At 53.9% G+C, this 25,013-nt stretch overlaps 1 protein-coding gene across 12 annotated transcripts, besides 9 other annotated features; it reads right to left on the bottom strand.

Moving 5' to 3' along the window:
• Positions 5,081–5,420: a silencer, noted in NCBI's record as "silent region_17259". NCBI's record gives its function as "represses an Ori minimal core promoter by ATAC-STARR-seq in GM12878 lymphoblastoid cells {active_cell/tissue: GM12878}" and the evidence as "EXISTENCE:reporter gene assay evidence [ECO:0000049][PMID:35858748]".
• On the bottom strand, positions 9,171–23,698 carry SLC29A1 (solute carrier family 29 member 1 (Augustine blood group)). 12 transcript variants are annotated; one of them, XM_011514341.3, is made up of 14 exons: positions 23,531–23,698; positions 21,628–21,727; positions 15,971–16,053; positions 13,842–13,923; positions 13,522–13,724; positions 13,267–13,406; positions 12,832–12,966; positions 12,648–12,745; positions 12,424–12,502; positions 11,852–11,949; positions 11,207–11,315; positions 10,885–10,970; positions 10,307–10,506; positions 9,171–9,896 (listed from the first exon to the last, which is right to left on the bottom strand). In XM_011514341.3, the coding sequence occupies exons 1-14, from the start codon at positions 23,614–23,616 to the stop codon at positions 9,785–9,787; spliced, it is 1,611 nt and encodes a 536-aa protein (XP_011512643.1). In that variant the 5' UTR covers positions 23,617–23,698; the 3' UTR covers positions 9,171–9,784. The 12 variants fall into 12 exon arrangements, with proteins under 12 accessions (XP_011512643.1, NP_001291391.1, XP_005248935.1 ...); NM_001304462.2 differs by having other exon boundaries at positions 15,971–16,050; XM_005248878.5 differs by lacking the exon at positions 21,628–21,727 and adding an exon at positions 17,146–17,252 and having other exon boundaries at positions 15,971–16,050.
• Positions 15,894–16,492: an enhancer, noted in NCBI's record as "H3K4me1 hESC enhancer chr6:44194558-44195156 (GRCh37/hg19 assembly coordinates)". NCBI's record gives its function as "activates a minimal SCP1, AML or CMV promoter by ChIP-STARR-seq in naive H9 embryonic stem cells {active_cell/tissue: H9 hESC(naive)}" and the evidence as "EXISTENCE:reporter gene assay evidence [ECO:0000049][PMID:30033119]".
• Positions 18,639–18,788: an enhancer, noted in NCBI's record as "active region_24631". NCBI's record gives its function as "activates an Ori minimal core promoter by ATAC-STARR-seq in GM12878 lymphoblastoid cells {active_cell/tissue: GM12878}" and the evidence as "EXISTENCE:reporter gene assay evidence [ECO:0000049][PMID:35858748]".
• Positions 19,031–19,889: an enhancer, noted in NCBI's record as "H3K27ac-H3K4me1 hESC enhancer chr6:44191161-44192019 (GRCh37/hg19 assembly coordinates)". NCBI's record gives its function as "activates a minimal SCP1, AML or CMV promoter by ChIP-STARR-seq in primed H9 embryonic stem cells {active_cell/tissue: H9 hESC(primed)}" and the evidence as "EXISTENCE:reporter gene assay evidence [ECO:0000049][PMID:30033119]".
• Positions 19,479–19,878: a silencer, noted in NCBI's record as "silent region_17258". NCBI's record gives its function as "represses an Ori minimal core promoter by ATAC-STARR-seq in GM12878 lymphoblastoid cells {active_cell/tissue: GM12878}" and the evidence as "EXISTENCE:reporter gene assay evidence [ECO:0000049][PMID:35858748]".
• Positions 23,400–23,499: a silencer, noted in NCBI's record as "silent region_17257". NCBI's record gives its function as "represses an Ori minimal core promoter by ATAC-STARR-seq in GM12878 lymphoblastoid cells {active_cell/tissue: GM12878}" and the evidence as "EXISTENCE:reporter gene assay evidence [ECO:0000049][PMID:35858748]".
• Positions 23,730–23,959: a silencer, noted in NCBI's record as "silent region_17256". NCBI's record gives its function as "represses an Ori minimal core promoter by ATAC-STARR-seq in GM12878 lymphoblastoid cells {active_cell/tissue: GM12878}" and the evidence as "EXISTENCE:reporter gene assay evidence [ECO:0000049][PMID:35858748]".
• Positions 23,730–24,141: a biological region, named in NCBI's record as "Sharpr-MPRA regulatory region 7869".
• Positions 23,847–24,141: a silencer, noted in NCBI's record as "tiled region #7869; HepG2 Repressive non-DNase unmatched - State 4:PromP". NCBI's record gives its function as "represses a minimal TATA promoter and a strong SV40 promoter by Sharpr-MPRA in HepG2 cells {active_cell/tissue: HepG2}" and the evidence as "EXISTENCE:reporter gene assay evidence [ECO:0000049][PMID:27701403]".

Genomic DNA, 25,013 nt, shown 5'->3' with positions numbered 1-25,013 from the left:
TCCCAGGCTGGGGTGCAATGGCAGAATCTCAGCATACTGCGACCTCCACTTCCCGGGTTCAAGCGATTTTCCTGCCTGAGCATCCCAGGTAGCTGGGATTACAGGCGCCCGCCACCACGCCCGGCTAATTTTTGTATTTTTGGTAGAGACCGGGTTTCACCATGTCGGCCAGGCTGGTTTCGAACTCCTGACTTCAGGTGATCTGCCCGCCTCAGACTCCCAAAGTGCTGAGATTACAGTCGTGAGCCACTGCGCCTGGCCAATTTTAATGAAGTTTTGTTGAAACGTAGCCCTTGTCTTTGACTGCTTCTGTAACATAAAGTCAAAATCGATAGGTGTGACAGAGACCATAACGCTTGCAAACCCTAAGACATTTACTCTCTTGCCTTTTACAGAAAACGTTTGCAGACCCCTAAGCTACATAAAGCTCAGCAAAGTCTTGCAGGGAGCACAGAGACTCAGCCTGGACAGAGTCTCTAGGGTTCACAGAGGCCACGGAGGGGAGTTAAATAAAGCTCAGTGAACGAATAAAACAACTGAGGGTAACAGGACATCAGAGATATGAGCATGGAGAGTAGCTGTGGACCCTGAACCCCTAGAACAAGCAGCCTCTTAAGCTCAGTGCCTGCCAGGTGTGTCCCGTTACTTTCTGGGCCTTCCCAGTTCCACGAGCCTTAGCTCTCTGAATTCCTGAGGGAATACCCTGAACTGACACCCTCCAATACTAGTGAGCCTGACATTCAGATGCATTGGACAATTGGGCAGGTCTGCACAGCCAGCATGGACTCCATCTCTTTGCCTCCATTTTCACATTCCACTAGAACACAAGGGAAGTCTCTTGCATAATTTTTGCTCACTGTATTGTTAGTATTGTTATTTTTTTGATGCCATAGAAAATGGAAATTTTTGTTCATTTTCGGTTTCCCAGAGTTCAAAAAGCAATTGAGCAATTGAATTTTTGTTTATTGATTGAGCAAGTTGGTAAGCTAGCTTATTAATTCTTAATTTGACTATAAAAGTTTTGGTGTTTTATAGGTACAACCATATCATCTGAAAACAATGACAGTTTGGTTTCTCCTCTTCTGATTCTTGTATCTCTTATTTCTTGTTTTAATGCACCAGCTAGGACCTGCAGAACAATGATGAGTGGAAATAATGATTCTGGGCATCCCTGTCTGATTCCTAATCAGAAAATGAAAGCTTCTAACATTTCACCATTGAACTTTTTGTTTGTTTGTTTGTTTTTTGAGACAGGGTCCAGGGTCTTGTTCTGTTGCGGGGGCTGAAGTACAGTAATACATAGCTCACTACAGCCTCAACCTCCCAGACTCAGGCGATCCTCCCAGTTCAACCCCCGAAGTAACTGGGACCACCATGCCTGGCTAATTTTTTTATTTTGTAGAGACAGGGTCTCCCTATGTTGCCCAGGCTGGTCTCATCCCAAACTCCTGGGCTCAAGTGATCCTCCCACCTTGGCCTCCCAAAGTGCTGGGAATACAGGCATGAGCCACCCGCACCCAGCTGAACATATTTACTCTTTTTATTCCTAACTTGCTATAAATTAAAAAAAAAAAACAAACACCACCATGTCCAGCTAATTTTTATAATTATCTGTAGAGACAGAGTCTTGTGCTGTTGCCCAGGCTGGTCTCAAACTCCTGGGCTCAAGCAGTCCTTCTGCCTTGGGTTCCCAAAGTGCTGGAATTATAGGCGTGAGGCACCATGCCCAGACTCTTACGATCTTTTCAATTTCTCTTCTATCTAAAGTACGTCTTCTGCCAGGCAAGGTGGCTCACACCTGTAATCCCAGAACTTTGAGAGGCCAAGGTGGGCGGAGGCCAGGAGTTTGAGACCAGCCTGGCCAAAATGGTGAAACCCCTTCTCTACTAAAAATACAAAAATTAGCCAGGCGTGGTGGCAGGCACCTGTAATCCCAGCTACTAGAGAGGCTGAGGCAGGAGGACCCTTGAACCCAGGAGGCGGAGGTTGCAGTGAGCCAAGATCACACCACTGCACTCCAGCCTGGGTGACAGAGTGAGACTCTGTCTCAAATAAATAAATAAATAACATTAAAAAATAAAGTATGTCTTCATTTCTAAAATTGTTTTTCATGTCTTATCTCTTTTTTCTTGTACAATTTCACCAAAGGTTTGCTTATCTTATATTTATATATTTGTTTTTGACTTCTTTAATTTCTGTTTATTTTATTTTATTTTTTTTTGAGACAGAGTCTCGCTCTGTCACCCAGGCTGGAGTGCAGTGATGCGATCTTGGCTCACTGCAACCTCCACCTCCTGGGTTCAAGTGATTCTCCTGCCTCAGCCTCCCTAGTAGCTGGGACAACAGGTGCGTGTGCACGCCACCACACCCTGCTAATTTTTTTGTATTTTTAGTAGAGACAGGGTTTCACCATGTTGGCCAGGGTGGTCTGGAACTCCTGACCTCAAGTGATCCGCCTGCCTCAGCCTCCCAAAGTGCTGGGATTATAAGTGTAAGCCACCGTGCCTTGCCTAGTTCTGTTGTTATTGTTCTATTTTCTTAACTTTAGTACTTAACACATTAGTTTCAGCCTTTCTGTTTTTCCAACATAAAGATTTAAGGCTACAAATTTCTCCTTGTGTACTATGTTTACTATATTCCACAAATTTCCATAGATTACAAATTTCAAATAATATTCAATATTTTATTACAATTCAATTTTAAGGATTTTCTGATTTCTTATGGTATCTTCTTTGACCAATTTAAAAGTGTTTTACATTTTCAATTATTTTTTATATACCCTTTAATTATGTTGTAGACATACAATGTGGTGTGTATGTTACTGGCTCTTTTGTATTTGAGACTTTTTTTTCTCTTTTTTTTTGAGACAGAGTCTCACTCTGTCGCCCAGGCTGGAGTGCAGTGGCATGCTGATGGCCCACTGCAGCCTCAACCTCCTGGGCTCAAGCGATCCTCCCACCTCAGTCTCCCAAGCAGCTGGAACTACAGGCATGTGCCACTAGGCCTGACTGATTTTTAAATTTTTTTTGTAGAGATGGGGTTTTGCCATGTTACCCAGACTGGTCTCAAATGCCTGGGCTCAAGTGATCTGCCAGCGTCGGCCTCCCAAAGTGCTGTGATGACAGGCATGAGCCACTGTGCCAGGCCTGTATTTGAGACTTCGTTTGAAACTTTAGAAGGTGGTTAATATCTCTAAAGGCTCCATATGTGCTTGAGGAAAAAAAAAAAAACCTAGTCGTTCGGTTAAATTTTTTTTTTTTTTTGAGACAGAGTTTCACTCTTGTTGCCCAGGCTGGAGTGCAATGGTGCAATCTCGGCTCACCGCAACCTCCACCTCCCGGGTTCAAATGATTCTCCTGCTTCAGCCTCCCAAGTAGCTGGGATTACAGGCATGTGCCACCACACCCAACTAATTTTGTATTTTTAGTAGAGACGGGGTTTCTCCATGTTGGTCAGGCTGGTCTCAAACTCCCGACCTCAGGTGATCTGTCCGCCTCGGCCTCCCAAAGTGCTGGGATTACAGGCGTGAGCCACTGTGCCCAGCCAGGTTAAATCTATTAAATCAAACCTGTTAATTGTGTTGTTCAAAACAAACACACAAAAAACTACTTGCATGCTTTTGTATTTGAGACTTTTTTCTCTCTTTTTTTGAGACAGTGTCTCACTCTGTCGCCCAGGCTGGAGTGCAGCCCTTTTTTCAAGAAAAATATAACCTACTTGAAGGCTGCACAGGACATAGCTTGGAGAAGAGAGAGGCTGAAGGCAGAGAGACCAGTCAGGGGTGGGGAAGAGGAGTATAAGCCTTATCTGAGGAAGAATGCTAGAACGTAGGGGCTTAAGGGGAAAGCAGGGATGGAGGACCACTCTAGGTTGGAGGTCAGCTTTAAGCATGTTGTAGGGCACCAAGGAAAGATATCTAGTAGGCAGAGGGGTATGTAGGAGAGGCCTGGGTTGCAGTCTTAGATCTACGCATGATGCTGATGGCTGAAGTCATGTGCAAGGACAAAAATCACTAGAGTGCAGTGAGAAAAGGGCCAGAAATTGTGGTCTGAGACACTCCTGAATTGTAAATCAGACATTCAGTAACCTGCTCTATTAATACACATATGACTATGTCTCACCTTTTTAAGGATTTATCAGTGGCCTAAGGGGTATGACTAAGTTCTACCTCGCGACCATTGTCAGCCTAGTCCAAAACGTCTATCCTCCTTCTGTCATCATGCCCACCAGGCATCCCTTTTTCTCTTGGGCATTGTTCAGTGTTCCAGGCCCCTTTTGACTAAGAAGGTAAAACTTAACCCCAACTCAGTTCATCCCAGAGCAGATTATAGCCAGTGGAAAGTGCAGGGGGCAGGTGGCACTACAAACAACCCTGATCTACTTGACTGTTTTGCCTGCCACCTGGCCTGTCCCAGGATGAAGTCATTCCTTTTCAGCATGCAGGTTTCAATGGGCTGGATTTCTGGGCCATTCACTGGCCTCACTTCCACCCCACGCAGATGATGGAACGGTAGGACTGTGATAGTGCTGCTGGGTGGAGAGGAGATCACACCCAGGAGGGGCCGAGGTTAGACATCAGGAAGGACTTTGCTGGTTTCACCTGGGCAAGATTATATGAGAGGTCAATGTCCCAGGAGGCTTGGGATCCCTGAGGATGTGAAAAGAGAAGACAAGAGTTGTGTCCAAAATAGGGGAGGAAGGTGGAACACATTTGCATTATGGTGCCACACCACATGATGCCTTGTATTTTTCCGTTCCCTTCACTGACTGGGAACTCTCATAGGGAGCGGAGGGAGAGAGAGAAGAGAGAGAAATATAATTATATTTACCTAGTGCTTTGCAGCTTACAGAATGTTTTTCCATCCTTTAACCTTTCAGATTCAATTTTGTGGAGTAAAATGAGCATAGCAATAGTCATCACTTTACAGGGTTATTGGGAAATCAGATAAGGCCATGTAAGACACTGAGTACAGGGGTGGCTGGACCAAGTAGCGTTGTTATTCACTATCTCAGTGAATAACAAGTTTCACGACCCACGCGGTTGTCAGGGCAAGTGTGACTATCCCTGCCTTACAGATGAGTGGCGCCGCGACGGAACAAGCCTGGCTCAAGGTCACCCGGACACGGGGCAGTGGCGTGGGTCTGTCTGACACGCAGTCTGGTCACCCACCCGCCAGGACGCAGAAGCGCAGAGCAGTGGGGCCTGACGCCCGCCAGGGGGCGCGCGGGCCGGGTGACATCACCCCCTCCGCTCCTCGCGGCGGGATGGGGCAGGGGCCTGGTCCCCGTCGCACCTCTCGCCGCCCCCAGCCCCACGGTTCTCGGCTGTCCGCGAGGCTTAGGGACCCGCGTGGTGGTTCACGCTGGAAATATCTGGAGTAGGGGAAGTGAGGCTTTGGTCTCGAAGCTTCCGGGGACTGGAGAGGCGGGGGAGGGGAATGAACGCAGGTGGGAAGGAGCCTGGAATAGGCTAGGTGGGGGAACGTGGGGTGCGGGGAGGGCCATCCTGAGGCTCATCCTGGTAACTGATAGCGCCACGTAGCTCTGGGGACCTCACCTCCTGCATCCATGCTCTCCCGCACTTAATTTCCTTAAGTCAACACATATGTCATCCCCTGGTAAGGACGAGGAGGCGGGCCTAGGGGAGGAGTGACTAATCCGGGATCACAGCTGGTACAGGGCAAGCCCAGGAGAGAGGACGGAGGCCTTCGTGGGGCCCTGCTGACTCACATTTAGCGGTCACCCTGCAGTCTGTTGCCAGAATGCCAACTTGCTCACTTCCAGCGAGCACCAGGACTGCCAAGGCTGCAGAGGGCTCCGAGTGGGCACGTCCTCTCCCCGAGAGCATCTACACAGGAAGCCAGGTCATACCGAGATGGGCTGGAGGGGTCCAGCCCGGACATAAGGCCATTGATGAGGTTGGGGCCAGAGGGAGTTGGGCGCTGCCCATTTCCACCCTCAGTGCCAACCTGCCCCAGGAAACAGTTGGTCCCCAAGGGTTTGGGGGGACACTGCCAACCTGACCTCTGAGTCAGATCTGCTGGCTGACCTGGGGACTGCCACTCTTCCTGTGTGTGAAGACTTGGCTTCCAGGCAGGGCTTGCTGGACAAACAGGCTATTTCCTTAAGGTGGCTGCATTTTTCTGTTTACAACCATTTTGAATCACTGTCATAGTTTAACTCTAGTTAAACTTTAATTGGCGGCCAGGCGCGGTCATGCCTGTAATCTCAGCACTTTGGGAGGCAGAGGCGGGCGGATCATGAGGTCAGGAGTTCGAGACCAGCCTGGCCAACGTGGTGAAACCCCGTCTGTATTAAAAATACAAAAAATAGTCAGGTGTGGTGGTGCACGTCTGTAATCCCAGCTACTCAGGAGGTGGAGGCTGCAGTAGATCTTGGTGGGGCCAAAAAAAAAAAAACTTTGGCCAGGCATGATGTCTCACGCCTGTAATCCCAGCACTTTCGGAGGCCAAGGCAGGAGGATCACCTGAGGTCGGCAGTTTGAGACAAGCCTGACCAACATGGTAAAACCCCATCTCTACTAAAAATACAAAATTAGCCGGGCATGGTGACGCATGCCTGTAATCCCAGCTACTTGGGAGGCTGAGGCAGGAGAATTGCTTGAACCCAGGAGGCAGAGGTTGTGGTGAGCTGAGATCGTGCCATTGCACTCCAGTCTGGGCAACAAGAGCGAAACTCCGTCCCACCCCCAACCGCCAAAAAAAAAAAAAAAAAAAAACTTTTGGGTTCTCCTATCACACGCTCTCTGAGCCCTGGCTTTATATTGCCTCCACCATGGTCTTTCCATATTCATCTCAAAGAATAGATATACAGATACATTCTGACTCAAAGATTATACCTGAGGCTTCATTTCTATTTTCCAGGATGGCTAATTTACTACGGCTCTTAGCTTTTCAACTCTTTAAAGCCCCAACATTTCATCATAAAACATTAAACAAGAGGGACATTCCTGTGTTGCAATGGCAGCCACTCCAGGGACAGCAGCTGAATATTGACTGTTTTGAGCAGAAATGTGACACGGAAGGTGATGACCAGCAGCAAGTGAGGGCAGCCAGGGATACCTGGAGGATTTTCATGCTCAGACCTCTCTACCTTACAGGCAGCAAGGTGCTAGCAGGAAAGTGGAGGATCCAGAGGAGGCCCCTGCTCCCCAAAGGGCAGGGGCCTGCGAGCGCCCACTTGGGGTCGGGAGCCATCCCTGCAGCTGGGTGGGCAGGAGACCTTAGGAGCTGCTTTTCCTAACCTCCTCACCCCTTCCAGGTTTACCTGTGAAAACACTGAGGTCAGGAGAATGAAGAGACTGACATTTTTTAGCATTTGTGTTTTAAAATTTTGGGGAGAAAATATTCTAGTAATTTCCTTCAACATCAATTTAAGTACAGGAAGGGAGAAAGGAACGGTATCCTTAATAGTTTTTCCTCTCAAATTAGTGCTGGGGTTGAGAGGAACCTACTTAACATCCCCATCTCTATCCCAGGGTCACAAGCAAGGCGTGCTACCACACGGCTGGAGTGGGGCATGTGAAGACTGTAGAGATGAATTCCGCCTTGGGATAAGCATGTGCTGTCAAGCCAATATTTTCCAAGTACCTCTGGGAGGCAGGTATGACATAGCTTGAAAAGCCAAAACAGGAGTAAAAAGTACACCTTAACCTAAAAAACATGACAGCGTGGTAGCTGGAGTAAGATAAGAACATGATAGAAAAGTCACAAAATTATGAAAGCTCTGAGGTGCAAAGAAATTGCACAAACTGGCTGTTGGTGGTGGAGGATCAGAAAACGCTCAGGACACAGGCGCATGCTCCAGAGAACAAGCAGCGCCTGCTAGATTCACTTTCAGATTATTCTTGTGGCCATGTGTGGGATGGACTGGAAGAGACCTGGAAGCCCCAGTGGGCCAGGCAGGAGGTGGTAAAGCAACCTCAGGAAGAAATACAGAATCCTGAGGCACTGCTGGTGCTGAGGAAGGAAACCAATAGGGTTCTTTGGGGTTGGGTACAACGGAGGACTGAGGACGAGAAAGAGCTCAGGTTTGTATGTTCAGCTTGACTCACTGCCAAACAGCACTGCAGACTGGGGGAAGGATACTCAGGGAACCCCTCAGCTTTTGAGCCTGATCCAAAAGGAATACCTTGTTTTCCAGCACCGCAGATAAATACTCTGGTCTGACAAATGATTAATAGCACATGAACTTCAGTTCCCAGTGCCCTGGTATACTTAGCTACCCCATTAGGGCTTCAGAGCTCATCAAAGAGCCTTAAAAATGCGCTAACAGCCCTTAATGAGGCCTGAAGTTCTCAATTAAATTAAACTCCAGTGAGAAAGGAAGCGCTGACAAAGGTGCCAACTCTGTAGCCATCTGCTGGCCAGGGCTGAGTGAGCAGCCTGCGCTGAGAATTCAGGAATGTCTTCTGCTTTCTGGGAGGAGTCTGAGACTTGTGGGAGGGTAAGGAATGCAGATTGCAGGGGTGCTGCACTGTGGCCAGAGCTCTGGTCTCACTTCCAGTCAGGTCATTCTTGAGATGGGGGTCCCAGTGGTAGGGCCTTCTCCACTGAGACACTCATAGTTCCATAACAACCCACCCCTCCCTAGGCCAGAGTTTGTGTTGAGAAGGGAAGGGTTGGTTTCACTGTGCAGACACACAGGGCCCTTGTTCCCCAGGAAGTCTGGCAGGCTGAGCTTTGGTGTTAAGGCTGGGTGCCAGGTAGGGGAGAACCCTCAGGCCTCGGCCTCTTCCTGCCTGGTGGTATGGGAGTATGGCCAGGAGCTGGCCAGTTTTGCAGAGTTCATTGCTGGGGCTGGGGACAGAGTGGAGGGGCTGGCAGTGAAGACAAAGGAAAGATGGGGAGCTATCTCCATCCTCTGTCCTATGAAAGAAAGAATGAAGCAGCAAAGAAAAACCCGTTCTTAGTCTTGGCTAACAGTCTTGGTGTTCTGGTTCCAGGCCTGTCCCTCCCCTGTGGCCCCAGCAGGGGGCATTGCAGCCCCTCTGAGGCCAAGAGGACTACTCCCCCCTCCTCCCCCTTGGACCCAGGTCCAGTCCTGGCCAGGGCCCAGCTGGGTCATGCTCATCTCCCAGACTCAGGCTGCCAGCCCTCTACCCACTCCAGGGCATGAAGCCACGGCTGGAGGACACAGGGAGCCATGGAGAAAAAAACAAGAAAGGTTTATTTAAATCAGAGAGCCTCTGAAGGCACCTGGTTTCTGTCAAATATATTTTTAAAAAAGGCAGTAACGTGGCAACTGTACAGGGTGCATGATGGGTAAGAACTGGGCATGGGGAGTTGGGAGGGGGACATGGAGAGAACACAGAGGAGGAGGCGCAGGGGAGAATGGAGTATATCAGGTCAAACCATACAACGGTCAGACCCAGCTCCTAGCCACCCCAGGACAGGCAGACAGTCTGACAGACACGGACGCAGACACACAGACACATACACAGAGACACACGTGTTCTCCAAGCCCAAGAGCCTCCACTGGCCTGCACAAGCAGGGATCAGTCAGAGCCAAGAGTGGAGAAACTCAAGCAAATGCCGAGGCTACACCCCGTCCCTCGACTCTGAGCCCCAAACCCACAATGTCCCCACTGTCCGTCCAGAGGCTCCCTCCCCAGGGCCTGGAGATCCGGGCCCAGCACACGCCGTGGAAAGCAGAAGTCAGTTAGAAGAAAAAACCGCCAGACCACTCAGGATCACCCCTGGCAGAAGGAAGGGGCAGGAGGCAGACAGGGAGGGAGGCAGGCAGTCCTTCTGTCCATCCTTTGTCACACAATTGCCCGGAACAGGAAGGAGAAAACAGCCCCCAGTGCCAGACCCAGACACAGGAAGAAGGCCATGATGGCTCCTGCGGTCTCTGCCTCAGCTGGCTTCACTTTCCTAAGCGGGGAAGGAAGGGCAAGGCTACCTCAGAATGGCTGTACCCCAGCCCAGAGCCTCTGGGTGGAAGGAGGGGTGGGGTGGAGCAACTTGACTGTCGAACCTCATTCTGTTGATCAACCCATCCTGGCTGCCTAACCCCAACCTGGCTTCTCCTCCTTGAGGGAACGTGTATGGTGGGGTTGTCTTTCACTCCTTCCTGCAAACCTGTCTCCACCTCCACCCAAGTAAGCTTGGCGCCCCCCTCCACTACAGTCACTATCCCCTCAGCCTGGGAGCCCCTCCTGAGCCATCTCTCCTCTCAGCTCTGGGAGCAGGGACTCTCCTTTTGCCCTCCCTCTACTGAGTGTCCCCCACTGGAACTCTAGATCCTGTCTGATGCCACCAAGTTCCCTGCCAGCCCTACTCACTTGGGCCCGAAGCACATGCAGAGGCTGGCGAGGTAGCCGTTGGAGAAGGCAAAGGCAGCCATGAAGAAGATGAACCAGGCATCGTGCTCGAAGACCACAGTCAGGTAGCGGCGGGGCTTAATGTTGCACAGCAGCAGCAGTGGCACAAACACCAGCCGGGCCAGCACCAGGCTTGGCAGCCAGCGGCTGTCCTTCCCAGGCTGTGGGCACCAGGCAGGGCCTCAGCCCAGGCCGCCACCCCAGGGCACAGCCAGGCCCCCAAGGATCCATCTGGGGCCCCTCAGGATCTGAACTGAAACCTCAAAGCCTGGTTCTCCTTAGGGGGTTACTCTTGAAAGGGGCATGGTGGAGCCTTCTGGAGTGCTGGAAATATTCTACATCTCGATCTGGGCAGGTATGTGTATATACATATATTCATTAAGTTGTACACTTAAGACTTGTACTTAACTATACATAAATTATGCCTCGACTTTAAAACAAATGGTCCCCTTACTACCATACTTTCTTGGGTTCCCTCTCTGGGTCCAGGCTGGACTCTTACTTCCCACAGGGGCCTGGGGCCCTCTTCCTCCACTTACCCACATGAATACAGCTGTGAGGCTCCGGCCCAACCAGTCAAAGATATTGAAAGTCAAGAAACAGGACACAGGAATGAAGTAACGTTCTGGAAGAGGAGATGAACGGGTGGTTATCAGGCTCACAGAGGCAGGTATAGCAAGCCTAACCTTCACTGGGCCTCAGCTTCCCCAACAGTAAAATGGAGAAGATGCTTCCAGCCCAGGGAAGGGCAAATGGACCCAGGAAACGGGGAGAAGGTGACCCAGGCTCCCTCCCTTCCCCACTTCCAGCCCAACTCAAGATCCTGTCTGTTCCCATCCTGGAAACCTGTGGCATCCTCACCCCAGGTGCTGCTGCCTGCGATGCTGGACTTGACCTCAACAGTCACGGCTGGAAACATCCCAATGGTGATAGTGAAGATGAAGCAGACAGAGAAAGCCAGGACTGAGATCTAGATAGAAGGGGTAGAGTCACCCAAATGCCTGTGTCTTCATGGTGGCTGTGCATTAAAGAACCACGAATCCAGGCCAGGCGTGGTGGCTCACGCCTGTAATCTCAGCACTTTGGGAGGCCGAGGTGGGTGGATCACCTGAGGTCAGGAGTTTGAGACCAGCTTGACCTGGTGAAACCCCATCTCTACTAAATACAAAAAATTAGCCGGGCATGGTGGCATATGCCTGTAATCTCAGCTACTTGGGAGGCTGAGGCAGGAGAATCACTTGAACCCAGGAGATGGAGGTTGCAGCGAGTGGAGATTGCACCATTGCACTCCAGCCTGGGCAACAAGTGTGAAACTCTGTCTCAAAAAAAAGGAACCACGAATCCCCACCCCCGGCACGCACGCATGGGCACGCACGCACACACAAAAGAATCCAGGAGTGACCACTCTCAGGTCAGAAAGGGAGGAGATGGGTGGCAGGGGGAGGGAGCAAAAGGAGGAGAGAAAGAGGACAAGGGGTAGAAGATAGGATAACCTCCCCTACGTACATTTTTCAGGATGGCTTTGATAGAGTGGCTTTCATTGGTGGGCTGAGAGTTGGAGACTGAAACTCCAGATTCCTCTTTGCCTGCTCTTGGCTCCTCTCCTGCGGGATGGAAGAAATCTCCAAGTTGTGGGGAAGACAGAGCAACAGAAGACAACATAAACATTCCCCAAAACGGCTGGGATTACTTGAAAGTAGACGCCTCCTTAACCAGTCCCAGCCGTACTCTAACCCTAACCCAGACCTCGCCTCCAAATCCCTACAACTCAAGACCCGGGGGCCTGGCCTCTCCCAGGAGCCTCAGGTCATGTTACTCCTCACTCAAGAATCTGAAATTGCTTCCCACTGCCTTTAGTCCAAACACCTCAGGCATTCAAGGTCATCCAGGATCTGCCCCCATTTTATCATTGCCGGCCCTTATTTCCTATTGTCCCCCTCTCCCTGCTGTAGTCCTTCAGTCCTCCTCTGGCTCAGGGCTGCTAGCTAACACAGGGCACTCATCTTTGTTCTCTTTGCTCATGCTATCCCCCGCCTGGTATACCATCCTCCACCCCAGCTTCCTCAGGCTCTTCGGACCTTTGCTAATGAGGTCCAACTTGGTCTCCTGCTCCCCGGGTCCTTCAAGCTTGAGCTGCTGGTAGTAGCGGTAGAATTCCTATCAAGTAAGGGAGACGGGGGAGGTGGATTTAGAGGCAGAATCTCCAGAATCCCGGCCTCCTTCAGGTTTTGTCCTCAGAACACCCGTGGTCTGGAACCCCAGACCCCTATACCCCAAACCCCAGCTCCCTCCATTTACTCACCAGGCGGGGCAGGCCCAGGTAACAGATGATGGTCAAAATGATAACAGCACAGGCTGTGATAAAGTAGCCGAAGGCACTTTCTGATAGCTCCGAGCCACCTGGGGTGGTGTCAGTGATCAGAGACAGGCCCCATCCCCTCTCCCCACCACACCAGGGCACTGGGCAGGTAGATAGCCGGACTTACTGGCAATAGCGCAGATCATGGCCACGGAGGCAAAGAAGCCTGCTAGGCCCTGGCCACTCATGATGGGGGCCGTGTAGCTGGCAGGCAGAAGGCCAGCCAGACCAAACAGGCTGCCCTGCAGGATGGCACCAAATGCTGGGGAAACAGGGCGGGCATGAGCAGGGGAGCTAGGGCTGGTGGTTGGGGGTGCCCAAGAAGACAGATCCCTGTCATTCCTACTTTACTCTTGGTGAGCCTTGAGGCTGAGCTGCCCTTCTCTCTGCCCCCTCCCAGCCCTGGTCCAGGCCCACTCAGGCCTCTGAATCCCAGCTGCTCACAGCATCCACTCCCTCCAGGCGGAGGCTGGGCTTCTCTCTGGCTAACGCTGGGTCTGAAAAAAGAGTGGGGGTAGTTGGGCATGCCTCCTCCCATAGGCCCCCTCCTGGCCCAGCTTACAATTAATGAGCACGATCTTGATCATGGTGATGACAAAGAAGGGCAGAGCATCCAGCTGCACCTTCACCAGGATGGCAGTGATCAGAAACACCAGCAGGATGGCCACCAGGCTGCCCAGGATCCGTACGGACTGGGGGATCCTGCCGGGAGAGGCCAAGGGTGGCAGAGACAAGTGGGCAAAGCTGGGGCTCAGCCAAGGGGGTGCAGGACACAGTGAGGGTCAGGCTGGGGGCTGGGGAGGGGGTGGGCACTCACCTCTGATGCAGGAAGGAGTTGAGGTAGGTGAATAACAGCAGGGGCAGCATGGCACATAGGGTCATGACATTGTTGAAGATGGCACTGAGAGAGTTCCGCTCAGGCAAGGGTGCTGCAGGGGCGGCTGACGCCTGGGCGTCCTTGCTCAGTTCAGCAGTGACCAAGGACACATTCTGGGACATGTCCAGGCGGTTTGTGAAATACTGCAGGGGTTGCAGAGAGGAGTGTTGAAATCTCTTTCCCTGTGCCTACCAGCACAGAGTCAGATCCTGCAAGCACAGTGGGCACTGCCCCATGGAGCCCAGTCCCTCCAGCCTCACCTGAGTGGCCGTCATGAAAAAATTCCACGGGAGCAGCGTTCCCAGACCCAGCATGAAGAAGATAAGCCAGACAGCTTTGTATCTGCAATGGAGGAGGAAAGATGGGCCAAATGACGCACCATCCTGCCCCACTCCACAATGAGCCCCAGGAAAGCCCCTGTCCGTTGTCAGTCTCTCTAGGTCCCAGGGCACAGGGCGTCTGTGTTTGTGTCCGTTTGCATGTGTCCTCTTATGGGTGTGGGGGGAGAAAAGGGTACATTGCTCGTTGGAATTTGGGGTGGGGATGGGGTCAGGGTCATAGGACTGAATGGCATGGCTGACAGGACCATGGTTATCAGCCCTGGAAGGCTCGGGGGACTCTGCAGGCTGGGAACCAGTGTGACCCACACATCCGGAGATGGTTTTGGAAATCCTGCCGAAGGGCAGGGGGTGGGTGGATGAGTGAGAAAGCAAGCAGCAAGTGTCTTCCACTCCCACCAGGCAGGCTGGAAGTAATTATGCTGTCTGGTCAGGGACTGTGTTACTCCCCAGAGAGGATTCTGAAGTTAAGAAACTCCCATACTATTCTGGACCTACAGGGCAGGTGGGCAGGGTGCCTCAGGGCCGCTGTGAAGAGAGGGCCTTAGAGCCATTTTCTTCCTGGCCAAATAGAACTTTGTAGTTCATACCACCCAGGGCAGGCCAGGAGGTATGGGGCCACTGGAGGCCATCTGGGCCTCAGGGTGTAAATAAGGACTGTCCACCTTTGGCCAGGGCAATGCCCCAAGCCCTATACCTCAAGGCCCTTCCGGGTCACGCCAGCTTCTCCCAGATAGGCCTTGCCTGAAAGCTGAGTAACCCCAGCCCGGCCCATGTAGATCTCCAGTTGGGTTTGCACACCCTCCCCAGAGCCAACACCAGCTCTCTTCAGAGATGGCAGGGATAAAGCCCAAGGCAGTGAGAAGACAGGCCTGGCCAGAGTGCAGGAGCCTGGACCGCTGGCAGGCCTCATACAGGGATGGCGTGGTGAGCACACCACGTGAGCAGGTCCGAGTTAATGCAACTGCAGCCCCCCCAACCCCCTCACATACATGCTTCCCTTGGAGAAGCTAAAGGCTTGGTTCGGAGGCCCAGAGCAGAAGGAAAAACTCCCAAAGTCACATAGGACAGAGGATCGGGGTTGGGGGGAGTACGCTGGGAAATGACTGAGCTGTGCAATAAGGCAAATGGAGCCGGCGAGGCCTTCAGGGAACTGCCCACAGGAGAGCGGAGGTGGGGACAGAATGGGCAGGCAGCCTGGGAATGGAGCACAGGAGGCAGGGAAGCAACCTGGGGCCTGGACTTATTGCCATGCCTCCTTAAATTCCCTTACTTCTAGATCCACTTCCTGGGAAGTAGATACTTTTAGCTTATTTTACAGGTGGAAAAACAGTCCCAGAGAGATTAAGCTACATGCTCAAAGCCCCCACAGGCAAAAGTGGCCTAGTTTCATAGCCTTTGGCACAGGAGGGAGATGGGGTGGGTAGGGCAGACGTGATGGGTTTCTGGGGCCTGAGTTGGAGGGCAGGACAGAGCCTGACGCTTTGAAGGAGCTTTGGATCTCAGGGATCACTTCCTCAGCCTTCTTGGGTCCCAGATCCCTTTGAGAAATTGAATTAAGCTACAGCCTCTTCTTCCAAAATACATATTCACAGTCATAACTGCAAGTCTAACTTGACTGGGAGTTCACAGGCTCCAGAGGCAGGGAATTGAGAGGAAGATCAGATCAAGAACCAGGGTGGGCCAGGTCATCTAAGGCAGAGGCCCCAGGGCAGTTCTGCCAGATGTGCATTGGAAGGAGGGGTGCAGCCAAGTATCTCCCCACAGTGGTGGCGGGAGGAGCCGAAAGCCGCTAACTGGCTGGAGAGCAACAGTGGAAACACAGACAGGCCAGGGAAGGACTGCTGCCCACGCACCCTGCCCTTCCCGCAGACACCCCAGCCAGCACCCAGCCAAGGCACACGGGGTCCCCACCCCTGATGCAGACCTGACTCATAGCTACCTGGCTGGAAGGCCAGCCAGCAATGGCAACCCCCAATTCCAAAGGACACCACACCCAGCTCCCTGAAAACCCATTCCCTGGATCCACAGCCCAGCCCCTTACCCCTTACCTGTCCTGAGGCTGGTGACTGGTTGTCATGGTGATGGTGTTCTCGGTTTTCCCTGGCTGACAGCTCCCTCCCTCAGGGGCCTGCTGGGGGCAGGAACAGTGTGAGGCCCTGTCTTGGCCCTGCCATAGGCCTCCTCAGGCTCTTAGGGGGAGAGGGGGCAGGGCTGACAGAACAGGCCAGTGGAGGAGTCCAGTAAGACCCCCTCTGCACCCTGCCCCTCAGGACGACTCAACTTGACCCCCACCCAGCCCCCTGGCCCAGCAGGCCAGTCCTGCGCGGCCCCCCTGCCTGCTCAGACTCTACCTGGCTCCCGGCCTGGCCGCTGCCACCGCTATTTTTATCCAGCAGCCGAAGCAGTTTATAAGCTGGGAAACAGGAGGGTGGAGAGCAGGAGGGAAGGAGGAGGAAAGATGATGGGAGGGAGGGAAAGACAGTCAAAGAAGGCAGGCAAGAGGACGAGAGGGGTCAGGGACAGTGATGACAAGGGAAGGAGGGAGACAAATGGAGGAGACACAGCAAAGAGGTCGGGGGAGGAGGAGGAAGGACACGGAACAGGCAGATCTGCAGCAGCTGCGACAACATCGATGATGACTGAGGTCAAACCAGAGGCTCCCCAGGCCCCTCTCTGCAAGTCTGGTCTCTCCACCCTCCCTGGGGAGCCCCTGGATTCATGGCTAGAGTGGGGCTGTCCTCTCCTGAAGGCAACCCAGATTCCAGTCTCTCTGCTGTTGGCACCTTAACCTTTCTTTCCAGCCACTGCCCAGGGGCTTCCTAGTTGCTGGCCGGTTTTCCAAGAAAATATTTCATAATGGATGTGGGGGCACAGCCCTTCCCCCTCCCCCCTCCCGACCCCAGGGTCACCTAGTCCTCCCTTAGTTCCTCTCTGTCACAGGCTCCTGTCCGCTTCCCCTTTCTAAGAGTGACCTTGAAAAGAAGATTGGAGGGGTGGATCCCAAAGCACCTATCCTTCTGCCTCAGCGTCCCTCTCCTGCTCCCCATTTGTGTAGGGGGAGACCCCCTGGCACCAGCAGATTAAACAGCTTTCCCATTGGGTGGCATGGGAAGCCAGGCAGATGTGCACTGACACATTCCCCACACTCAGGCCTAGCTGGGCCCAGGCCTTGCTGTTTGGGGTGAAAGGACAGCTTCCCTTCCCTCCCTTTCTGGGCACTCACCAGGTGCCCAGACTGGCCAGCAGAAGGGTCAGAGCAGAGCAAGCCTGGGCAGTCCCTAGGAGGTGCTCCTAGTTCAGGCTCAGGCAGTGGGCCTTGTCCACGGGCTCCTGGGTGCGGATCCAGAATGAAAAAGGTGGCACAGGGTGTTATCAGGAGAGAGTCCCTCAGGCTTCATGGGGCCCCATTCTGAGAAGCCTTGCAAGCAAAGAAGCAGAAGCACACCCAGGAGATAAAAAGCCACCCCTGTCGCTCGGGAGATAAGAGAACAGGGAGTCTCAGCAGGGGAGCTCTCGCAGGTGCAGCATTGCTTCTGGCCCCACTCAGACAAACAGAAGCAGCTGGGCACCATGAGACCTTCCACGGGCTCTCCCACCTCCCTGTAGTTCCTCTCAACCCTCCCCAGGGAAACTCCAAGCTCTCAGAGGTCCTCCTCAGCCCCTCAGCCCCACACCTCCAGATAGAGGCAGAAGGATTCCTCCATTCAGGCCTTCGACAAATATTTACTGAGGACCTGTGCATGCTAGCCAGGCACTGTCCTAGGCACGAGGGGTGAATAATCATATTTACATTTTCTAGAGAGATGAAGGCAAGAGGGCATTACTGGAGTGGGGGTGGGGGAAAGCCTCAGGTCTCAGATTTTTTCTTTTTTTTTTTTTTTTTGAGACGGAGTTTTTGCTCCTGTTGCCCAGGCTGGAGTGCAATGGCATGATCTCGGCTCACTGCAAATTCTGCCTCCCAGGTTCAAGTGATTCTCCTGCCTCAGCCTCCCAAGAAGCTGGGAATACAGGCTCCTGCCACCACCCCCGGCTGATTTCTGTATTTTTAGTAGAGACAGGGTTTCACCATGTTGACCAGGCTGGTTTCGAACTCCCGACCTCAGGTGACCCACCCACCTTGGCTTCCCAAAGTGCTGGGATTACAGGCATGAGCCACTGAGCCCTGCCTAGGTCTCAGGTTTTCTATTAGGTAGTAGGGACTCTTCCTCTAGGTTCTTACTTCATACCCGCATACCCCGTACTCCACCCCACAGGCAAGATTCCTGGCAGTTAAGAGCAGGTGTAGCTTCAAAGCAGATGGGGGCCTAGGGTGGGGAGAATAGCTCCTGTTCTCCTGGGTAAAACTGGCTTAGGCTTAGAGAAGAAGTATTTATTTCTTCCCTGGCCCCCTGCTACACCCCTGCTCTCTCTGTTCTCAGGAGTTCCCATACCAGTCTTGGGCACAATTCAACTCCAGCCCTCTCCTCCTGCCCATATCCTAACATTCAGCTGGCCAGCCTTCGTGTTTTGCTTTTGTCTGCCTTTGCCCAGCGGCAAACAGGGATCTGATACCAGCTCAGAGCATCTGGTGTCCCTCCAACTATGCCTTGGCCTGCTGAGGTGGGCCCCTGAAAGTAGCCACCAAATTGAGTACCTCCCTGCCTCCAGACTCCCAACACCTCTCCTGCAATTCTCCACTCCCAGGATTTCATATGGGGCTAGCCACTACCTGCAGATCTCTTGTCTTTTCTTCACAACCACCCATAAGCTAGTACTAGCACTGAATAGATGGGGCCAGCTGAGGTTCAGAGGGGTTGAGTCACTTGCCTGAAGTCACAGAGCTGGTGAGTGGAGGAGCTAGAATCCATATTAAATGTTCAAGCTCCTTTTGGAATGGAGAGAGGTATAAAAGCTGCTTCTCAGTTAGCCCTGTAGACTGGGAGGTGGGGGGAACTCTGATTCAACTAAAGGGAAAAATGAGGTGGAGACCAAGATCATTCCCAGCCTGACTTGAGTGTCAGGCAGCTCAGCCCCGCCCCATCACACACATCCTGGCATGGGGAGCTTACACAAGCAGGAGGAAAGTTGGAGGGTCTGGAGGCCACCGAGAGGAGTAGGCAAAGGGACTACCACAGGGCTGCAGAGAGACCCCTAGAGGTGTGAGGGCAGGGTTGGAGCCAGCCTTGACCTACGACTGCTCTCTCCTGGTAAGCAAAGCCGAGGACTGTTTGTCTTCACCCTCTCATATACCCTCACAGTAAATCAGTAAATGAAGACGTGCGCAGGAAGGAGACGCCAGGGATACGAGTTTAGCCAGTAAAAGACCGGGGTTAAAGAGACAGCCCCGCACCTCCGCTCGCGAGCCTGCACCTCCGCTCGCGAGCCTCCATCCCCATCCCCATCCCCATACCCCTCCGCCAGCGCAGTCAGCGGCACGGCCCCTCCCTGATACCGACCAGATCGATGGGGATCACCCGTCCACTCGCCTGCCCCTTGCGGAGGTCAACGTGACCGCAGCCTGTTTTAGGCCCGGGAGCCAGGCCGCCCCGCCCAGCTTGGGTCCCGGTCCCCGCAGGGTCCTCAGGCTCCCTGGCCCGTGCGCGCCACGTGCTGCGCGGCTCCGCACGCTCCGCACTGGGGCCCCACCCGGCGTCCCTTCTCCGGGCTGCGGAGCCGTCAGGCCCGCCCTCCCTGCCCTCCGTGGCAGGCGGGCAGCGGCGTCTTCCGCCCCGGCAGTCCCCAGTCCCCAGTCCCCGGCCCCGGGCAGCACCTGCCGCAGAAGCACTGCTCCCGCGCTGAGATCCGCGCGCTCTCGCTGCAGCTTCCCTCTCCCGCCGGGGCACATTCAAACCCGCCCTCCGCTGAGCTCGCCCCGCCCTGCGCCCACTGCCACCTCCCCGACGCCCGCGGCCCCGCCCCCGGCCCACCCCTGCCACCCCGCGGCGACTCCGCGCGCTCCGCCGCTCCCACCCCGAGCCCCTGCGCCCCCAGGGCCGCCTGGTCGTGTTATTGCGGTAGATAGGACCTCTTTGGGCCCTGCCACACCAAGGCTGTCTGTCCATCGTGTGGGGTACATGGGGCTGGAGGGTACAGCCACACATTAAGGACCTGCGCAGACTCCCATAAAATTCATCTCGGGACTGTTCCATTTACACACCCGCTGCTCAGACCGGCCCCGACGCTCCACGGCCCACTCCACCTCAGATATTCCGTTATCCCTTCCCAAGCCCTGCCCACGCCGCGCTTCCTCCACACTGCACCTTTTTCCTCCCAGCGCCCTCCCTTTCAGCGCCCCCTTCTTTCTTTCAGTCCCCCTCCTCTTCTTTTCCTTCAAAACTGCTTCTGTCCCCACCGCGCATTTTCTGTGACCAGCATGATGGGTTTTCCCATCCCTGACACATCCAGTCCCAGCCACAGACGCGCAAACACCACCCCACTCACAACTTTGACTTGGAGGGGGTATGTGCCTCTGCCTGTGCTTGCGTGTGCGCGCGGAGGGGGGTGGGGCAAAGCCCTCCAGCTCCCTCATAATTCACCCTTTCTAAATCCAGCACTTTGGAAAACTGAGGCACAGGTGGGAATGGGAAGAGAAAAAGCTAGGAACAGCCTTATATCCTCAGTGAATCCTATTGTCCCAGCCATCCTGACAGGCGGAAGCCTTGCTGAGTATGTCTTTCACTAGCTAAGGAGGAAGGTGTGGGCGTGCTGAGGGGTGGTCCAGCAAGTCCCTCCAAGGGAGGGGGAGGGAGGCCCTCTCTTTGGTCGGGCAATAAATGGGGTGGGGTGGGGGGCACTCCCTGCCCTTCCAGCAGTACTCAGTGCTAGAGGATGATCCTAAGGCTGGAAAGGTCCTGAGGAGAAAATCCAACCCACGCTGCCCACCCCATGCCCACTGACCCGAAGGGCTTGTCCCCTAGAGAAGCCACAGACACTGATTAACAACTGGCAGTACCTCACATCATAGGGATAAGGTAGTCCTACCCTGTCCCCAGAGAAACAGACAGGGCCCTAAGGAGAGAGGTGGCTTTTCTAATTAGGGTCAGTGGCTCTCCCCAAGCTACTCCAGAATGGGTGTCCCCAGCCTTCTGTTTCCATGCCCCACAGAGATGACACACATATTCCTTCCCAACCCTCCCCCACCCCACCCCCATCCCCCACATCCCCGCCAGCCCTAACCAGAGGGCAGGAAGATGGGTTTAGGTGGTATTTTTCCAGGCACAGCCCCATGACTTGAGAGTGGCTTCATGTCTGTCCACAACCCCCTAATTCCTGCCCTCATGTTTGTCCAGTCTCTCTCTCTTCCTCTCCTAGCCCTCCTCTGCCCTCTGCCTTGGCCCCCTTCCTCGCTCCCCACCCTCCTTTCCTGGTCTCTGGGTCTGTGGGGGTGGCAGGGCTAGTGGTCAGAAGATCTGCCAGGCATGGCAAGGCTGGTGGCCAGTGGCTGCAGTTGTGTACAGAGGGGGCTGGAGGTGGAAGAAAACTGGAGGGAAGTGGTGAGGGTCTCAGGCCAGACTGGGAAAGGCTGGTTCCTCTCCCCACCCAAACTGGGGCCCTGCCAGCTCGGTGGATGGCAACAGCCAGGGCTGTTATTGTTGGAGAGAAGTCCGTCTGGCATCCATCCTGCTGGGCCCCTAGCCAACACCCACACCCCTCTGTAGCCACCTCCCAAGCAGAGGTTGCTGGGTGCCAGGGCCCCCTGCTGGACAGCCTGGGAGCCCCAACTTACACAGGCCTTGCCTGGAGTTTTTCTAGCCAGGCCTTGCCAGCTCTCTTCAGTCTCTGCCTGGTCTTCTGGCTTCTCTCCCTCCCTGAGCTCCCTCAGGTCCCTGTCGAAGGGGTGGGGTGGGAAGGGTTGGTCCTGCTGCACCTCTACTCTACACCTTATTCACCACCCTATATGGGACCGTGGCTTGGCCCAGACTCCCTCCCCAACTTGGCAGGCCCCATGCATGCCTCACCACCTCACACACAGTCCTCTCTCTCCCCAGGCATGTGTCCTCTCAGCTGTCACCAACAAGTCATGTGTGTTTGCTGGAAGTGTGTTTGCTTGGCCTGGGGGTTGGTAACCAGCACATGTCTCATGACTGTCTGTGTTCTCAGTTGTGTTTGTGACTGTATCTCCATGGCCTTGTGACAGGGCTGGGACTAGGGAGAGGCCAGTGAGGCACTTGCCAGGGGTGTAAAATGTAAGGGGGAGCCAAAAAACTCATGAATCAAGATAAATTTTAGGCCAGGAGTGGTGGCTCATGCCTGAAATCTCAGCACTTTTGGAGGCCGAGGTGGGAGGATCACTTGAGCCCAGGAATTCAAGACTAGCCTGGGCAACACAGTGAGACCCCATCTCTACAAAAAAAATTAAAATAAATTAGCCAGGCATGGTGGCTCGAGCCTGTGGTTCCAGGTACTCCAGAGGCTGAGGCCGGAGGTTCACTAGAGCCCGGGAGGACAAGGCTTCAGTGAGCCATCATCCTGCCATTGCACTCCAGCCTGGGCAACAGAGCAAGACCTTGTCTGAAAACACAAACAAACAAACAAAGATACATTTTAATGTAATCAAAATAAGTTTGTTTTTTTTTTTCTTTTCTTTAAGATGGAGTCTCACTCTGTCACCCAGGCTGGAGTGCAGTGGCGTGATCTTGGCTCACTGCAACCTCCACCTCCTGGGTTCAAGCGAGTCTCCTGCCTTAGCCTCCTGAGTAGCTGGGATTACGGGCACGTGCCACCACGCCCAGCTAATTTTTGTATTTTTTTTTTTTTTTTTAGTAGAGACGGGGTTTCACCACGTTGGTCAGGCTGGTCTCGAACTCCTGACCTTGTGATCCGCCCGCCTTGGCCTCCCAAAGCACTGGGATGACAGGCGTGAGCCACCACACCCAGCCCTTACCAAAATAAGTTTTAATGCAATGTCTACAAATCAAGACTCCATGATGCCAAGTGCAGTGGCTCACATCTGTCATCCCAGCACTTTGGGAGGCCAAGGTAGAAGAATCACTTGAGCTTAGGAGTTCAAGACCAGCCTGGTCAACACAGGGAGACTCTGTCTCTTAAAAAAAAAAAAAAAAAAAAATTAGCTGAGCATGTTGACGCATGCCTGTGGTCCTGGCATTTTGGGAGGCTGAGGTGGGAGGATGGCTTGAGTCCATGAGGTCGAGGCTGCAGTAGGCTGTGATCGCACCACTGCCCTCCAGCCTGAACAACAGAGCGAGACTCGGTTTTTGTTTTTTTTTAAAGACTCCATGATGAATAAAACATCAAGATTTTTTAAGTAAAGACAGGTGTGTTCACAGTGTGGGTACTGGCTCGGGGTTCGAGAAGACTAAATTCTTTGTTCAGTTAGGTCTGGGCTGGTCTTCTAGGCTAATTTTCCAGACCTCTTCCCCCTACCCTATGTTCCTGGGACATCTGTAAGTGGCTGGGGAGTTTGGGGAGGCAGTCATCTAATAATGGCCTTCGAAGGCCCAGAAAAGTGGCCCCGCATCCAGAAACCAAAGATTCTGACTCCCCTGAGACACTGTAGCCCAGCGGGTCCCCCTACTGGCCCCCTGTCCCGCCCGGCAGCGTGAGAACGGCGCAGACCTCGCCCCCACCCCACCCCGCCCCGCCAGGCCCCCCGGCCCCGCCCCGCGCACCTGCTGAGACTTTGGAGTGAGCATCCGGACTTGGTGGGGGACGGAAATTCCCAGGCCTGCGGGCCCCTAGTTCTCTCCCTCCTCATCTCGGGGCTGGGGCCATAGCCACAGCTGGAGAGCGCAGCCCGCGCCGGGCCTGACCGGTGTGGGCCGCCGGGCGGAAGAGAGGCTGCAACAGGCGACCCCAGCGCCCGCCCAGAGCTCCGCAGCCAGCTGCGTCCAGTCCTCGCGGCTCAGGGGCGGGGAGACCAGAGCCGACTCAGTGGGAGGGGCCCTTCGGGCCTGGGACTGGCGGCCGGCGCCTTTGGGCACCCGAGGCTCCGGAAAGGGACGGGGTTAGGGGCCCAAGGGCTCGGACCCCCTTCTCTCTGCCCCTCCCCCTGGGTCGCCTCCCTGAGACCTGGGAGCACGTGCACTGGCTTTGAAGACTCCCGAAGGAAACCGATGGGGTAGTGAGCAGGGACGGCGTGTGGCAGGCAGAAAGCCCCGCAGGGCTGGGGGTGGGGCGGATAGCTTGGGGCTCACTTCTTTCCCAACCAAGCCTTCTGACGGGTGTGGGGAGGGGACTGGAATCCCAATTGGATCCTGTACTCCTCACTGTCCTCGTCTGAACCTAGATAGAGCCCAAGAGTCACCCAGAGAGAGAGGATTATTGCCTGGGAACAATAAGCAAATTATCCGGAGGCTGGGATGCAAATGTGTCTAACTCTTTTTTTTTTTTTTTTTAAGACGGAGTTTCGCTCTTGTTGTCCAGGCTGGAGAGCAATGGCGCGATCTCGGCTCACTGCAACCTCCGCCTCCCGGATTCAAGCGATTCTCCTGCCTCAGCCTCCGTAGGAGCTGGGATTACAGGCATACGCCACCACGCCCGGCTAATTTTGTATTTTTAGTAGAGACGGGGTTTCTCCATGTTGGTCAGGCTGGTCTCCCGACCTCAGGTGATCCTCCTGCCTCTGCCTCCCAAAGTGCTGAGATTACAGGCGTGAGCCACCGCGCCCTGCCCAGACTGCACTTTCTAACTGTGTTTCCTTAAGCATGTTGACTCTTCTGAGGCTCTTATTTGACCCCTGAGGGGCCTCCCACTAGGGAGGAGGAAATGATGAAGTCAGTTCTTAAGGCAACTCACCCAACCCTAGTCTCTTCTAGGGTGGGATGACCCTCAAGGGGATGCATTTCTGCACTGCCTCCCTGGGTGGCCTCCCACCCAGTCTCTTAGCAAACGTATCACCCCTCTTCCCACCACCACTAGCTGAGAAGTCCTCAAACTCGCTGGAGGATATTTTCCTCCCTACTGTGAGCTAGCCAGGCAAACTTCCTCCTAGATGGACTCAAGCCATTTCTGGGTCACAGTGTGACATACTGACCGAAACTTAGCAGGGGGAAACAACTTCCAGGCTGTGAGGACTGAAACCACGATGGAATAGGTAGCAAAATAAACCCTTGTACAATTGTCCATCTCTCCTCTCCCCCACCCCCACCAACT

Source organism: Homo sapiens, chromosome 6, assembly GCF_000001405.40.
Source record: "Homo sapiens chromosome 6, GRCh38.p14 Primary Assembly".
Taxonomy (NCBI): Eukaryota; Metazoa; Chordata; class Mammalia; order Primates; family Hominidae; genus Homo; species Homo sapiens.
Note: the sequence above shows the minus strand (reverse complement) of the source record. Positions and strands in the feature narration are given on the sequence as shown.

Excerpts from the sequence above, each read along its gene's own strand:
- SLC29A1 (XM_011514341.3), bottom strand. The coding sequence starts at position 23,616 with ATGAGGAGGGAGAGAACTAGGGGCCCGCAGGCCTGGGAATTTCCGTCC. Across the intron at positions 13,924-15,970 it reads AGTCACCAGCCTCAGGACAG|ATACAAAGCTGTCTGGCTTA; the intron begins GTAAGGGGTAAG and ends CCTCCATTGCAG. Across the intron at positions 13,725-13,841 it reads TTTTCATGACGGCCACTCAG|TATTTCACAAACCGCCTGGA; the intron begins GTGAGGCTGGAG and ends CAACCCCTGCAG.